This window comes from Homo sapiens, chromosome 11 (genome assembly GCF_000001405.40).
Source record: "Homo sapiens chromosome 11, GRCh38.p14 Primary Assembly".
In the NCBI taxonomy this organism is placed as follows: Eukaryota; Metazoa; Chordata; class Mammalia; order Primates; family Hominidae; genus Homo; species Homo sapiens.
In genome coordinates, this window is record NC_000011.10 from 68,054,482 (window position 1) to 68,069,774 (window position 15,293).

General features: G+C 46.1%; 1 protein-coding gene across 14 annotated transcripts in view, besides 1 other annotated feature; it reads right to left on the reverse strand.

Moving 5' to 3' along the window:
* Positions 1 to 15,293, reverse strand: part of CHKA (choline kinase alpha) — a 68,530-nt gene that overhangs the window by 1,623 nt on the left and 51,614 nt on the right. For 8 of the 14 annotated variants that reach the window (NR_164782.1, XM_047426315.1, XM_047426316.1 and 5 more), the window contains 6 exons: positions 14,398 to 14,456; positions 11,948 to 12,035; positions 11,305 to 11,413; positions 10,044 to 10,150; positions 7,472 to 7,553; positions 7,119 to 7,349 (listed from right to left, as the gene is read on the reverse strand). Coding sequence is in view for 13 of the 14 variants with exons in the window: in XM_047426315.1 (XP_047282271.1) it covers positions 7,185 to 7,349; positions 7,472 to 7,553; positions 10,044 to 10,150; positions 11,305 to 11,413; positions 11,948 to 12,035; positions 14,398 to 14,456 (610 nt within the window). In the remaining variant the exon portion in view is untranslated. Of the gene's footprint in view, positions 1 to 7,118; positions 7,350 to 7,471; positions 7,554 to 10,043; positions 10,151 to 11,304; positions 11,414 to 11,947; positions 12,036 to 14,397; positions 14,457 to 15,293 lie in introns of those variants that run through there. The other 6 variants (NM_001376222.1, NM_001376221.1, NM_212469.2 and 3 more) reach the window with 1 other exon arrangement.
* Positions 12,072 to 12,572: an enhancer, noted in NCBI's record as "H3K27ac hESC enhancer chr11:67834020-67834520 (GRCh37/hg19 assembly coordinates)". NCBI's record gives its function as "activates a minimal SCP1, AML or CMV promoter by ChIP-STARR-seq in naive H9 embryonic stem cells {active_cell/tissue: H9 hESC(naive)}" and the evidence as "EXISTENCE:reporter gene assay evidence [ECO:0000049][PMID:30033119]".

Sequence of the window (15,293 nt, forward strand, 5' to 3'; positions counted from 1 at the left end):
CCCGGGATCTCCTGCAGCATGACTTTTAAGAAGGACACTGAGAGGCAAGGGAGAAAACCCGGCTTGGTGTTCTGTTTCTGCCACTATTTTTCTGGGATTGTGTTGTGTGAGGACAACACAATCTCAAAGACCCACTCCTAATCTAAAAGTCTGCAATTCTAGAAGCCAGGAAGATTACAATTAACTTTTTTGAAAAATTAACTGAGCTGTAATTTCTACTCTACAAGCATGAGCCCATTTTAAGTGTCCAGTTGAGGGCCTTCACAGATGCATCCAGCCAGTTCTCCACCACCGCAGTCAGGAGACCTGTGTTTCCAGCATCCCTACAAGCTCCCATGGGCCTCTTGCAGTTGGCCACAGGCAGCCACCGACTCAATATCTGTCACTATGGACTGGACTTTTCTTTCCTAGAGTAGCACATAAATGCCACTATACAATATGCAGCCTCGTGTCTGGCTTCTCACTCAGCGTGCTGTCTCTGAGTGGCCTGTGCTGTCATGCACTGGTGCCACCTTCCTTTTGCACTGCCGAGTGTTCTCAGTACACGGATCTGGCACTGTCGTATCCACACACCTGCTGACTGGCATTTAGGCTGCTTCCAGTTTGGGACGATTATAAATGAAGGTGCAGACCGGGCGAGGTGGCTCACACCTGTAATCCCAACACTTTGGAAGGCCAAGGCAGACGGATCACTTGAGGTCAGGAGTTTGAGACCAGACTGGTCAACACGGCGAAACCCCCTCTACTAAAAATAAAAAATTAGCTGGGTGCGGTGGCGGGCGCCTGTAATCCCAGCTACTCAAGAGGCTGAGGCAGGAGAATTGCTTGAACCCGGGAGGCGGAGGTTGCAGTGAGCCAAGATCGGGCCACTGTACTCCTCCTGCCTGGGCAACAGAGTGAGACTCTGTCTCAAAAACAGACAAACAAATGAAGCTGCTATGAGTGTTTGAGTGCAAGTCTTGGTGTGGAATTTGTTTTCATTTGTTCTGGAAAAATTCCCCAGGAGGGCTGCTGGGTGGTCTAACCCATCTTCACACTGGCTGTCGCGACTGCATTCCCAGCAGCAGCGCATGCGCATTCCCATTGCTCCATGTGCTCGCCATTTGGGACCGTCAGTTCTTTCAAGTTTTAGCCATCACTGTGGGTGTGTAGGGTATCGCAATGAGGCTTTGATTCACATTTCTTTAATGACTAATTATACAAAACACATGAAAAGATTCTTACTGGCCATGTGTTTCTCTTAAGTGTCCAAATCTTCCATCCATTTATAAAGCAGGCTGAGGCCGGGCGCGGTGGCTCATGCCTGTAATCCTAGCACTTTGGGAGGCCAAGGCGGGTGGATCACCTGAGGTCAGGAGTTCGAGACCAGCCTGACCAACACAAAGAAACCCCGTCTCTACTTAAAAAAAAAAAAAAATTAGCCAGGCATGGTGGTGGGCTCCTGTAATCCCAGCTACTTGGGAGGCTGAGGCAGGAGAGTCGTTTGAACCCAGAAGGCAGAGGTTGTGGTGAGCCGAGATCGCACCATTGAACTCCAGCCTGCGCAACAAGAGCGAAACTCCATCTCAAAATAATAATAATGAAGCAGGCTGTTTGGTTTCTGGCTGAGTTATGAGTTCTTTATATATCCTAAATATGAGTCCTTTATTAAATATACATTTGTAGTATTTCCTCCCAGTCTGTGGCTTGCCTTTTCATTTTCTCCATGATATCGTTCAGAGTTACTCATTTTGATAAAGTCCAACTGTGATGACATATATGTGTGTTTTTGTCCAGGGTCCCTGGCTCATAACTCCCATAGCCCTTACTACAGTAAACAGAATCTCTCTCTCTGACCTTCTGCCGTCCTTTCACCTGCCCAAAGCTAGACTCTAATCTGACTGTGGGTCATAAGACTCTTATTCCAGAGGGGGTCCTGCACCATACCCTGGGATAAGGAATGCTGTACAGAGAAGCCCGAAGAACCTGGTCAGGTCTTGCTAGGTTTAGATCACACCTTTTTTGTCCAATCACATTTCAACACGGTTGTCCACATTTCAATCATGCCTATCCAATGACATCTCCATAAAATGCCCAAGAGGACAGGGTTTGGGGAGTTTCTAGAGAACTGAATGTGGAGGCTGACAGGAAGGTGAACAAGAATGAGTTCCCCAACCCACCCACAGGGACAGAAGCTCCTGTGCTGGGAATCCTTTCAGACCTCACCCCACCTATTTATCTCTTCACCCTTAAAATACCCTTTGTTAGCTAGGCATGGTGGCGGAATGTCTGTAGTCCCAGCTACTTGGAAGGTTGAGACAAGAGGATCGCTTGAGCCCAGAAGTTGGAGACCAGCCTGGGCAACACAGTGAGACCCTGTCTTAAAAAAAAAAAAGTAATACACTGGTAAACTTACGTGTTTCCCTGAGTTCTGTGAGCTGCTCTAGCAAATTAATTGAACCCGAGGGGAACGTGGGAACTCCAATATATGGCTAGTTGGTCAGAAATTCCAGAGGCCTGGACTTGCAACTGGTGTTGGAAGTGGGGGGCAGTCTTAAGGTCTCAACCCTCAACCTGTGGGGTCTGACTCTGTCCCCACGTAGACAGTGTCGTAATGGAATTGGAGGGCACCCATCTGGTGTCCACTCCAGAACTGATTACTTGTTTGTTGGCGGGGAGAACCACCCCTGACGTGGTCACTTTAGTCTTCTGTGGTGATGATTGTTGCTGATGAAAGGAATGGGAAAAAGCACTTTGGTTTTTATGTGTTTCCTGCTCACAGCAACTTACTCTATTTTTTCCTCTTTTATGGCTAGTGCTTTATGTAACCCAAGAAATCTGTGCTTAGGTCAGTAAGCTTTTCTTTTTTTCTTTTTTGAGACGGAGTCTCATTCTGTCGCCCAGGCCAGAGTGCAGTGGCATGATCTCGGCTCAATGCAAGCTCCACCTCCCGAGTTCACACCATTCTCCTGCCTCAGCCTCTCCAGTAGCTGGGACTACAGGCACCTGCCACCAGGCCCGGCTAATTTTTTGTATTTTTAGTAGAGACAAGGTTTCACCGTGTTAGCCAGGATGGTCTCAATCTCCTGACCTCGTGATCCACCAGCCTCGGCCTCCCAAAGTGCTGGGATTACAGGCGTGAGCCACCGCGACCAGTCTAGGTCACTAAGCTTTTCTCTTGTGTTTTCTCATAGAAACTTAATAGTTTTAGCCTTCACATTTAGGTCTATTATCTGTTTCAAGTTGACTGTTGTTTATGGCACAGAATCAGGTTCAGTTTTTTCTCCACATGACTCTTCAAATGTTCTTGCATCATTTTTTGAAAATACAATCCTTTCCCTCTTAAATTACCTTGGCCTTTCTGTTGAGTACCAGGTGATTATATACACATGGATCAATTTCTGGACACTGTATTCTGTTCCATCTGATTTGTTTTTTGTTTTGTTTTGTTTTTGAGATGGGGTCTTGCTCTGTTGCCCAGGCTGGAGTGCAGTGGTGTGATCACAGCTCCCCTGACTTCCCAGGCTAAAGTGATCTTCCCAGCTCAGCCTCCCGCGCAGCTGGGACTACAGGCATGTGCTACAGACACCCAGCTAATTGTTTCGTATTTTTTGTAGAGATGAGTCTTGCTATGCTGCCCAGGCTGGTTTCCAACTCCTGGGCTCTAGCGATTCTCCTGCCTCAGCCTCCCAAAGTGCTGGATGACTGGCTTGAGCCACCACACCTGGATGATTTACATTACTTATGCCACCACCACACTGCCTTGACTTCTGTGCTTCAGAGAAGTCTTATAACCAGGTAGTAGAAGTCTTCTTTGTTCTTTTACAAAATTATTTTGGTTATTCCAGACTCTTTGCATTTTCATATAAATTTCAGGATCAGCATGTCAATTTCTACACAGAAGCCTGTGGGGGTTTTGATTAGGCCTGTGGGGAATGTACAGGTCAGTGTGGGGAGAATGAGCATCTTTACCTTAAGGCTTCCATCCATCAAGGTGGTATCTTCTCCATTTATTTCACTTCTTTATTTTTTACACTCTTTCATAGTTTCCAATGTACATATCTTACACTATTAAACATTTTTCCATGTACAGTTGTTTCTACCATGTAGAAATCCAACTGATTTTTGTATACTGACCTTGTATCTTGTGACTTTGATAAACTCATTCATTAGGTTAAGCAACTTTTCTGTTGATTCCTTTATTATTTTAAAAGCACACAATCATGTCACCTAAAGAATAAAGGCAGTGTTTCTTCTTCCTTCCCAGTGCACCTATATTTCCTTTCTTTGTCTTGCCTCACTGCACCAGCTAGGAGCTTCAGTACAACACAGAAGACATGCAGTGAGAACAGGCGTCCTTGCATGTTCTGTACTTGGGGTGGGGGTCAAAGGGGACATTTTCCCTGTTACCACTAGTGATAATGTTGGCTGTGGGTTTTCCTTTTTTTTTATTGAGACAGAGTTTTGCTCTTGTTGCCCAGGCTGGAGTGCAGTGGCGTGATCTCGGCTCACTGCAACCTCCACCTCCTGGGTTCAAGCGATTCTCCTGCCTCAGTTTCCTGAGTAGCTGGGATTACAGGCATGTGCCACCACCCCTGGCTAATTCTGTATTTTAGTAGAGACGGGGTTTCTCCGTGTTAGTCAGGCTGGTCTCGAACTCCCGACCTCAGGTGATCCACCTGCCCTGGCCTCCCAAAGTGTTGGGATTACAGGCATGAGCCACCGCGCCTGGCTGGCTGAGGGTTTTTCATACATGCCTTTATCTGGCTGAGGAAGATCCCCTCTAGTCCTAGTTTGCTGAGATTTTTTTTTATCACATTGGATCTTGTCAAATGCTTTTTCCTGTGGTCCCTGAGATAATCATACGGTTTTTCACCTTCATTCTGTTAATATGAAGAATTATATGAACTGATTTTTTCAAATATAAACCAGCCTTGCATTCCAGGGATAAATGCCACTTGACCATAATATATTATCCTTTTACATATGTTAGTGGATTTAATTTTTGCCAATGTTTTGATAGGGATTTTGTGTAATGTTTCTTCTTATGGAATATAAACATTTAAGCTACAAAGCCGTAAGTTTCTAGATACTGCTTTATGTATATCCCACAAATACTGACATGCTATGTTTTCATTATAATTCAGTTTAAAATATTTTCTCATTTTCTTTTTAATTTCTTTGACCCAGGGTTTATTTAGAAGTGTACTGTTTAATTTCCAAATAATTGAGAATTTTCTAGCTATCTTTTGTTGTTGATTTCCACTTAAATTTCACTGAGAACATATCCAGTATTATTTCAATCCCTTTGAATTTATCAAGACCTGTCTGATGGGCCAGCATATGGTCTATCTTGAGGAATATTCCATATTCATTTGAAAAGAATGTGCACCCTGCAGTTGCTGGGGGGTTTAATGAACATGCATGAGGCCAGGCTGGCAGGGAGAGTTGTAAGGCCCTATCCCTCCTTCTGCGTGTGTTCCTCCTTTGTTCTAACCACAGAAGAGGAGTGGTGAGATCTCCCATGTTTTTTGTTTTGTTTTGTTTTTGTTTCTGAGATAGAGTTTCACTCTTTTTTTTTTGAGACCCAGAGTCTCGCTCTGTCGCCCAGGCTGGAGTGCAGTGGCGTGATCTCGGCTCACTGCAAGCTCCGCCTCCTGGGTTCATGCCATTCTCCTGCCTCAGCCTCCCGAGTTAGCTGGGACTACAGGCACCCACCAACAGGCCCAGCTAATTTTTTTTTTTGTATTTTTAGTAGAGACGGGGTTTCACCGTGTTTGCCAGGATGGTCTCGATCTCCTGACCTCGTGATCCGCCCGCCTCGGCCTCCCAAAGTTCTGGGATTACAGGCATGGGCCACCGCACCCGGCCAGAGTTTCATTCTTATTGTCCAGGCTGGAGTGCAATGGCGCCATCTCGGCTCACTGCAAACTCTGCCTCCCAGGTTCAAGCGATTCTCCTGCCTCAGCCTCCCTAAGTACCTGGGATTACAGGCATGTGCCACCATGCCCAGCTAATTTTTGTATTTTTAGTAGAGATAGAGTTTCACCATATTGGTTAGGCTGGTCTCAAACTCCTGACCTCAAGTGATCCAACCACCTCGGCCTCCCAAAGTGCTGGGATTACAGGCGTGAGCCACTGCAACCGGCCGAGATCACCAACTTTAATCGTGAATCTGCCATTTTCTTCTTTCACTTTTGTCAGTTTTAATATCATGTCTTTTGAAGCAAGACAAGGGTTTTTAATGTCCTCTGGATGTACTGATGCCTTTATTATCACAAAATGCCCTTCTTTATCTCTAGTAATATTCCTTGTTACGAAGTGTGCTTTGTCGTACAGTATCATTTGACCATGACTCAAATCTGCTTTAAAAATCCAATGTCCCCTTCTTTTACCTAATATCATCCTTGCATTACCAAACCTTCTGCCTAGAAGTAGAAATCATTGTAGTATAAGACTGAGGAGGTCAAAATGAACTAGTCCCATCCCTGTCCCAAAGGAAGGCAGCTCACCAGACTGTGGACATTTGTGTTATCCCCCACCCCAAGACAACTCACCAACATTCATTCACTATGGAACAACAGAAAGGTTTGTCTGAAGGTTAAAAATACTTTCTATTTCTATGTCAGTGACAGTTTTTTTTTTTTTTTTTTTTTTTTTTTTTGAGACAGAATCTTGTTCTGTCACCCAGGCTGGAGTGCAGTGGCATGATTTCAGCTCACTGCAACCTCCACCTCCTGGGTTCAAGCGGTTCTCCTGCCTCAGCCTCTTGAGTAGCTGGGATTACAGGCGCCCGCCACCATGCATGCTAATTTTGGTATTTTTAGTAGAGATGGGGTTTCCCCACGTTGGCCAGGATGGTCTCGAACTCCTGACCTCAGGTGATCTGCCCACCTCAGCCTCCCGAAGTGCTGGGATTACAGGCGTGAGCCACCGTACCCGGCTGACAATTCTTAAGGTTAAAATTAAATGACAGCCTAGCTTGGTTACAAACATGCCTATGAAAAACAGGAGGTCTAATTCAATAATTACCAGCTTCCAACCCAAAGTCGGGCACTACAGGCTGGAGAATGAAGTGGTAACCGATAAATAAAACCTTCCACAGCACAGGCAGGAGCCACCCACTCTTCTTCACTTACTGTCCCGTGTCAGAAGGGACTGAGGTCAGAGCTGGACTTCGAGGGTGCAGATGCCTACATTCCCCATCAGGATTGCAGGCACTTCTCTGAAGCAGGGGAGGCAAGGTCAGCTGGCCTGGAAGTGAGGGCAACCTCCAAAGGCAACCACAGCATCAGTGACAGCGGCTTCTCCCCCGGCTTCCTGGGCTGAGCCACACTGTCCTGATGCCACCAGGTCACCACATTCGGGTACTTGGGGAGACAGAGAACCCTCTGTAAGGAACAGTCATTTGCTGCCAACATTCACAAATACTATAGCATTTTTACCTGGGAGTAGGAAGAAAAAAAAAAACAAAAACGCTGCTAAAACATACCATGTACCCAAATTCAATAGATGAAATCTTGGCTTGTACAATGGACCACAGTCCCCAGAGGAAATGAGATGCAAGGGCAAACCTGGAATGATAAAAGCAAGAAACATATAAGAGACATACAGTATCAGTTACAGGACTGATGAAATGATTTCATGCCAGATGGACATTTTAACTTGTGTGGATGCAAACCTAGTTAGTGTTGGCAAATCATGGGTCTATATTCCACGGGACTAACTAAGAACAATGGGAATACCACTCCCACACCCTTCCCTCATCTGCTAGTGACAGGTGCACTGGTGAGTGTGAACACACACAGCTGGCCTGGCCATGGCACACGTAAATGCCACTTGGCCATAATATATTCACAAGGTGAATATATTCACATTCACAGGGTGCAGGTGAAGGCCTGGGTGGCCATGCTGGCAGAAAAGAAAGCAAGCTTGCTACAAGGGAGGGTGCACACCATAGCAACCAAGAGGCAGCCCTTTGCTGGAGGCGGGATGAAGCTCTCACTCCTTGAGCAAGAGAATTCTCAAATCCCATCCTTGTCCCATCCCCTCCTGTCACACAGAAGTGAAAAGAGCAGATCAGAGAGCGTGAGCCACGTCACCATCTCTAAGCTGTACCAAGCCCCCAAGTCACTGTGAATCCAAGTTCCTCCTCAAACAATACCCTGAGGGCTCATCCACATGAAGATAAAGCTCAAATTTAGGAGTGCCTGCTCTAGTATCCTCCAACCCTACTCTCTGTTCATCCTGTGGTCCCCGGCCCACAAGAGTCCCGTGTGCTACCCTTTCTGTCTGGGTTCTCCTCCATCTGTTTTTTTCTATTTCCACCAGTTCAAGAAACAGAAAGAGATGATGTATGCTGCGGTGAAGCCCAGCAGGTAGGCAGGTGTGACATCACACTTAGTGTTGGGGGTGAGCACTCTGGAGGCCACGAGGAGATGACTGTGCTAAGTGCGTGGAAAGATGAGGGGCCACAGTGACTTAAACAGCCATTCTACCAAAAAATGTCACAGGAGACCCCAAATAATAGGAACAACCCACAGGCCTCTTGACTAAAGAGATGGACAAATAGTGGTCTAGACCTTTGCACAATCTGGAAGTTTCAGGGCCCTGCTTTGAAAACTGTTGAGAAAACAGTTAAAAGCAAGACTTAAAACCGATAAACATAAGTTTAATCATTTTCTAGGAGAAACTTAAGAGTTAAAACACAGCATATGGTGGCCGCCACTCCAGAAGCATCAGTGACAAGTTTGCAGGGACAGATGCAGTAGCCCACATCTGTAATCCTAGCACTTTGGGGGGCCAAGGCAGGAGAACCACTTGAGCCCAGGAGTTCATGACCAGCCTGGGCAACAGAGCAAGACCTCGTGTCTACAAAAAAATACAAAAATTAGCCAGGCATGGTGGTACGTGCCTGTAGTCCCAGTTACTTGGGAGGCTGAGGCAAGAGGCTTGCTAAGAGTTAGAGGCTGCAGTGAGCCATGATCGCATAGCTGCACTCCAGCTTGGGTGACAGATCAAGACTCCATCTCAAAAAAAAAAAAAATTCTATAGGCTCTGGGTGGCAGCAGCCCTGTATGGCTGGGTTGTTGTGTCTGGATGACAGTTCAGAATGCCACAAAGTGTCCTGACCCTTCTTGGACATGGGAACTCTTCTTGTGATATGGTTTGGCTCTGTCTCCCCACCCAAATCTCATCTTTAATTGTAATCCCCATGTGTGGAGGGAGGGACCTGGCAGGAGGTGATTAGATCATGGGGGTAGTTTCCCCCATGCTGTCCTCACAATAGTGAGGGAGTTCTCACAAGATCTGATGGTTTTACAAGTATTTGGTAGTCCTACCTTCTTCTCTATCTCTCTGCCCCTCTCTCTCCTGGCGCCATGTAAGATGTGCCTTGCTTCCCCTTTGCCTTCTGCTATGATTGTTAAGTTTCCTGAGGCCTCCCTGGCCATGCAGAACTGTGAGTCAATTAAAACTCCTTTCTTTATAAATTACCCAGTCTCAGGTAATATCTTTGTAGCCATGTGAGAACAGACTAATATACTTTGCCTGCTGTATGCTCAGATCTGAAAGCTCTGCATAGTCTCGGCCACAATGGAGAAGTAGCAGATTCTATTTTTGACAAAGTGCAAGTCCTAAAGATGTACGATTAAAAAGAAGCTCCTAGGCCAGGCGCAGTGGCTCACATCTGTAATCCCAGCATGGGAAGGCCGAGCTGGGTGGATCACTGGAGGTCAGGAGTTCAAGACTAGCCTGGCCAACATGGCAAAAACCCATCTCTACTAAAAAATACAAAAATTAGCTGGACATGGTGGCAGGCACCTGTAATCCCAGCTACTTGGGAAGCTGAGACAGGAGAATTGCTTGAACCCGGGAGGCGGAGGTTGCAGTGAGCCGAGATTGCGCCACTGCACTCCAGCCTGGGTGACAGAGCAAGACTCTGTCTCAAAAAAAAAAAAAGAAGAAGAAGCTCTAAAATACTCCTAATTGCAAGTCAGCATCTCCCAAATATAGTCTATAAAGAGGAAAGCTATCTTTACAAATCAAAAAAGGAAAAATGTTACCTATTAACTTCAAGCAACATTTCTTCTTTTATAATGGATTTTTCTTCAGTACTGAGGTTTTCAAAGTCATTTTGGAATGCAGGCAAGTAACTGGAAATAAAATGGAGCTTAAAAAAAAGTAATTGTGTTAGGATCAATGATGGTTAAAATAGACAATGTCAATAGCTGTCACTAAGCATATGCATCTACTGTGACACACTGGGAGACACACACTCAACATGATGTTCAGCATCTCCGACATCCTGGGGCTGGCACCAGTGAGCCAACCTTTGCTAGGTTTTCAGCCGCTCTCTCTCCCCAGGATTTCTAGTGGAGATACAGTGTCTAGGCTCTTCAGCATACTTTTTCCATTTAGAGTAGCACTTAAAACATAAACTGGAGACCACTATTTTGGAGGCAGGCTTGGTGCACCCTCCCAATCCTACTCAGCTTCAGCACCGCTACCAAGGTTTCAGTGCTGGGCTGAGGAATGGGAGAGAAAGATCTCAGGAGGAAATTCCCATGAGAACTGATTCTCCACACAATCACCAGCCTCCTCCCATCATTCAGGACAGGAAAGGGAACTGTTAACACCAAAGATATTTCCTCCCACTACTAAACCCTGGTGCCCGAAAGATTACTTCTCTCTCCATAGTGTGAAATGAATAGAAAAAGGTCAGTGATCACCAAAAAGATGGCCAGAAAGCAGAATCAAGGCTGGGCTTTTCAAAAAAATACTACAAGGAACTACAAAGGATGACAAAGCTCTTCTCTGAATACAAGTATCTCTGGCACAGAGATTTTTAATAAGCTGGACTAAAAGGTCAAGTTTGTGTCTACATTTAACAGGAACAAAATAACATTTTTTAACATAAACCAAATTTTAAAAGGTTATCTTTAAAAATGAAGATGTAGGCCAGGCATGGTGGCTCACAACTGTAATCCCAGCAGTTTGGGAGGCTGAGGCAGGAGGATCACTTGAGCCCAGGAGTTTGAGACCAGCCTGGGCAACTTGGTGAAATCCCATCTCTACAAAAAATACAAACAATTAGCTGGGCGTGGTGGCATGCGTCTGTGGTCCCAGCTACTTGGGGGGCTGAGGCGAGAGGATCACCTGAGCACAGAAGGTCAAGGGTACAGTGAGCCATGATCGCACTACTGCACTCCAGCCTGGGAAACAGAGTGAGACCCTGCCTCAAAAAATAAAAAAGAAGATGTAATTCTAACTGCATGAAATTGACATGTAATTTTCCTATCAAGTATACAAAAACTCATCTCCTACCTGTTGTTTCTTGGTGGGATACTTCCGGATGTTTGCTCTGAAAAAAGGGTATTTTTCATAGCTATAATCATACATCCACTCACAGAAGTGATTTCCAATGTCGAATCCCCTGAAATAAGACATAAGACAGTGCACACAATGAGGCAAACCGTATGCCTGGAGGCTCCCTGACTGCAGAAGAAAGAAAGGCTGAGTTCCGAGCACGCCACTCCTGTTGCCATCTGGACTTGCTGAGGGAGCAGGACTGTAGCTGCTTTAATGACAGAGAGAGACAACAGGTGGTTGATCAGCATCACAGCTGACTAAAGCTATACAGGTGCACCTGAACCACTACTCCAGAACATTGTGTCTCCTAGACCAGGATTTATGAGAAGAAAATGACCTCTGAAGCCAAAAGAAAATGCCAAAGTCTGGACTGAATGGCATGGCTGTCCCCAACTAGCGCTGTCTGCTAGGAACAAAGAAGGCTGTGCTGCTTCACCACAACCATCACCGGCCACTGGACGAGAAGCCACTGATTCCAGGTGAAGCAGCTTGCAACTCAGAGCGGCATTTTGACTTATTTTCTCTAATAACTGTTAATTAAGCATATCGTAATGATAAATCAATATTGAGATGGAAACACTGGACTGTAACACAGTACCTGTAATTGTAACTGCTGTATTCGAAATCAATGAGCATCAGTTTCTGTTTTTCAGAATTCTCTCGGCCTTCCAGCAACAAGATATTACCTGCAAAAGGTTTGGATAACATGGTTTATGTTTTACAATAGAAGGCTCAAGTCCTTGAACAGCAGAGCCGAGAGAATGGATTTGATCCCTTAGGGAATCCTAACTGAATGTGGCTTTTGGTCTGTGGACATCACCAGGGCCTAGACAGAGCGTAGAAGTGCTCACGGGAGGCATAACCCTATGCAGGGTGGCTCCTGACCCACCTGGCCATGAGAACCCCTGCTCACAGCCCTAGTCCTCGCCAGACCCCCAGGATCACTGTGGAACAAAGCCTGGCCTCTTGCTCTGCTGTCAGGACAGTACTTCCCAAATGTTCTGCATGGTGGCATGCAGGAGCTCGTGCTAGCCAAACACCACCCTCAGCAGCCCTGGGACTTGGTTTGCTGTCTGCAGGCCAGCTGGCTGCAGCACTCCAGCTGGGAAGCTGTGGGAGTGCCCTCCTGGTAAGAAAGGCAAGGGAGAGCTCAGCTGCCACAGGGGATCCCCTGCTTTGTTCTTGCCTGCTTTTCCTTCCCAAGGAGACCACAGGCAGCATTCCTACAAGACTATTTGCTTTAGTATTGGATTCTGGGTCAGGAGTTGGTCAGCCATCAGCCTGGCTCTGCAGGCCTGCGTTCCTGAGATCCCCACACTCGACATGATGTTCAGCATCTCCGACATCCTGCTGCTGGCACCAGTGAGCCAACCTTCGCTAGGTTTTCAGCAGCTCTCTCTCCTTAGGATTTCTAGTGGAGGTATAGTGTCTAGGCTCTTCAGCATACTTTTTCCATTTAGAGTAGCAATTACAATGTAAACTGGAGACCAGAAAACGTGTATTGGCTCACACTTGTAATCACAGCACTTTGGGAGGTGGAGGTGGGAGGATCACTTAAGTCCAGGAGTTTAAGACCAGCCTGGGCAACACAGAGAAACTCCATCTCCACAAATAATTAGCCAGGTGTAGTGGTGTGCGCCTGTGATCCCAACTACTCAGGAGGCTAAGGCAGGAGGATCACTTAAGCCCAACAGGCTAAGGTTACGTGGAGCCTAGACTGCACTACTGCACACCAGCCTGGGTGACACAGTAACAGTCTCAAAAAAAAGGCAAATTGGAGGCAGACGCCCAAAGTAGCACAACAAAATTAATGTACAACTGTTACCTCTTCGATCCTTCCTACACTTTGCCATCATCAACACAGCCGATCTCCTCCAGTCCCCTCTCTCTAGTGATGTCTGTGCCATTTATCACCCCCTCACCACCAGAAGGGCAAGGGTAATACACAAAGCTGTAGCTGTAATGTCTACACCCTCCTTGAGTTAGCCAGCGATGAGCAGCTAATTAGTAAAAGGTAATTTGGCTCAAATGAATGGCTTATGGATGACGAGTCTTCATGAGAAACTGTTCTCAGGATTAAAAGCAAACTGCTGAGCCTGGCAAACAAGGGCTCAAGGTGGGACCTGAACTACTGTGACTAGGGGAGGCAAGGTCAAGGCAGAGAGAGGCCATGTCAGCAGCACCAGTGGGAGCTGCATAGTGGGGGGCCTCTGATGAGACTGTTCAATGTGCAATTGCATGGGATGAAGTTTTGTTACAGTAAGGAACATATCACTGTCATGTTTTCAAAGCAGAGAAGCCCGAAATAATTAATAGCACAGTGCACTGATACTAGGAGAGGAGGTGTTAGGATTACACGTGTTGCGATAAGCAACACTACGCTGTGTGGTGCAGAAGGGGGAAGGGCCCGGGACTCAATGGGGTAGGCAGTGGATCTTGTTCTTTTATTGCTTTTTCAGGTTAAAAAAAAATCATACATGTTTACTGTAAGGAGTTAAACACTGAAAAAGTAATATGTGACTTAGAAAGTTTAAGTTCTTCATCCCAGTTCCCAAGTTTAGTGAATATTCTTTCGGATTTCTTCCATGTAATTTTTTTTTTTTTTTTAACAGGATCTTGCTCTGTCATCCAGGCTACAGTACAGTGGTGCGATCACAGCATACTATAGCCTTGAACTCCTAGGCTCAAGCCATCCTCCTGCCTCAGCTTACCAAGTAGCTGGGACTACAGGTGCACACTACTATACCTGGCTAATGTTTTTATTTTTTGTAGAGATGGGGTCTTGCTATGTTGCCCAGGCTGGTCTAGAACTCCTGGGCTCAAGCAATCCTCCCACCTTGGCCTCCCAAAGTGCTGGGATTACAGACATGAGACATTGTGACTGGCCTCATACTCTATAAAAATAATACAAAACCTCATTGTCTGGTTGTATCATACTTTAATGTACCTAATACTCTTGATGCTACCTTACATTTTTCAGACACACTGCCAGTAATTTTCTAAGTATGCACACAAACCTCATCTGTAACAGAACATAGCAATTCTTACCTTCTTGACAGTCATTATGACAAAATACAACTGGAGATGGAGTAGATTCAAGCAATGATCTGAAAAGAAAGGTTTCACTGTTACCCATCACGCTTCTCAGTCAGCTGCACACAGTCTTGCTTTCTCCACATGGCCAGCACCAAATTCGTGCTCCAAAGCAACACACAGTTTCAGAGTAGTATCTGTGATGTGAATTCTGACAACTGCGTCATTACGTGGCAACAACTCCACAGGCCCTCTGCACTCAGCTCTTCCCCCGGAGGACCTCTGCATGTGCCGCTCCCTCCTGGAGCCCCTTTCTCTGCTGGTCTCGGCTTGTATAGCACCCCCTTAGACAGCCCTTCTCTTACCAGTGACCCAAGCAGGTCCTCCTATGCAGACTAAGGGCCTACTTTGATCTGTTTCTGTCACAGCACTTATCACAATTTGACATTATTTTATTTGTTTACTTGTTTTCCCTCAGCAGCGATCATCAAGCCTAGCAGAGGAGGCACAAACCTGAGTAATTAAAGGTGTAAATACTTGTGGCTGGGTGTGGTGGCTCGCGCCTGTAATCCTAGCACTTTGGGAGGCCGAGGTGGGCCGATCACGAGGTCAAGAGATCAAGACCACTCTGGCCAACATGGTGTAACCCCATCTCCACAAAAATACAAAAATTAGCTGGGTGTGGGGGCGCATGCCTGTAGTTCCAGCTACTCGGGAGGCTGAGGCAGGAGAATCACTTGAACCCAGGAGGGTGAAGCTGCAGTGAGTCAAGATCGCGCCACTGCACTCCAGCCTGGCAACAAAGCGAGACTCCGTCTTATAAAAAAAAAAAAAAAAGGTGTAAATACTTGTTAGTGTACAGATGTGAGTGGCCTGCGCCAAGCATCACTCTGAGGACAATGACGGCCTTG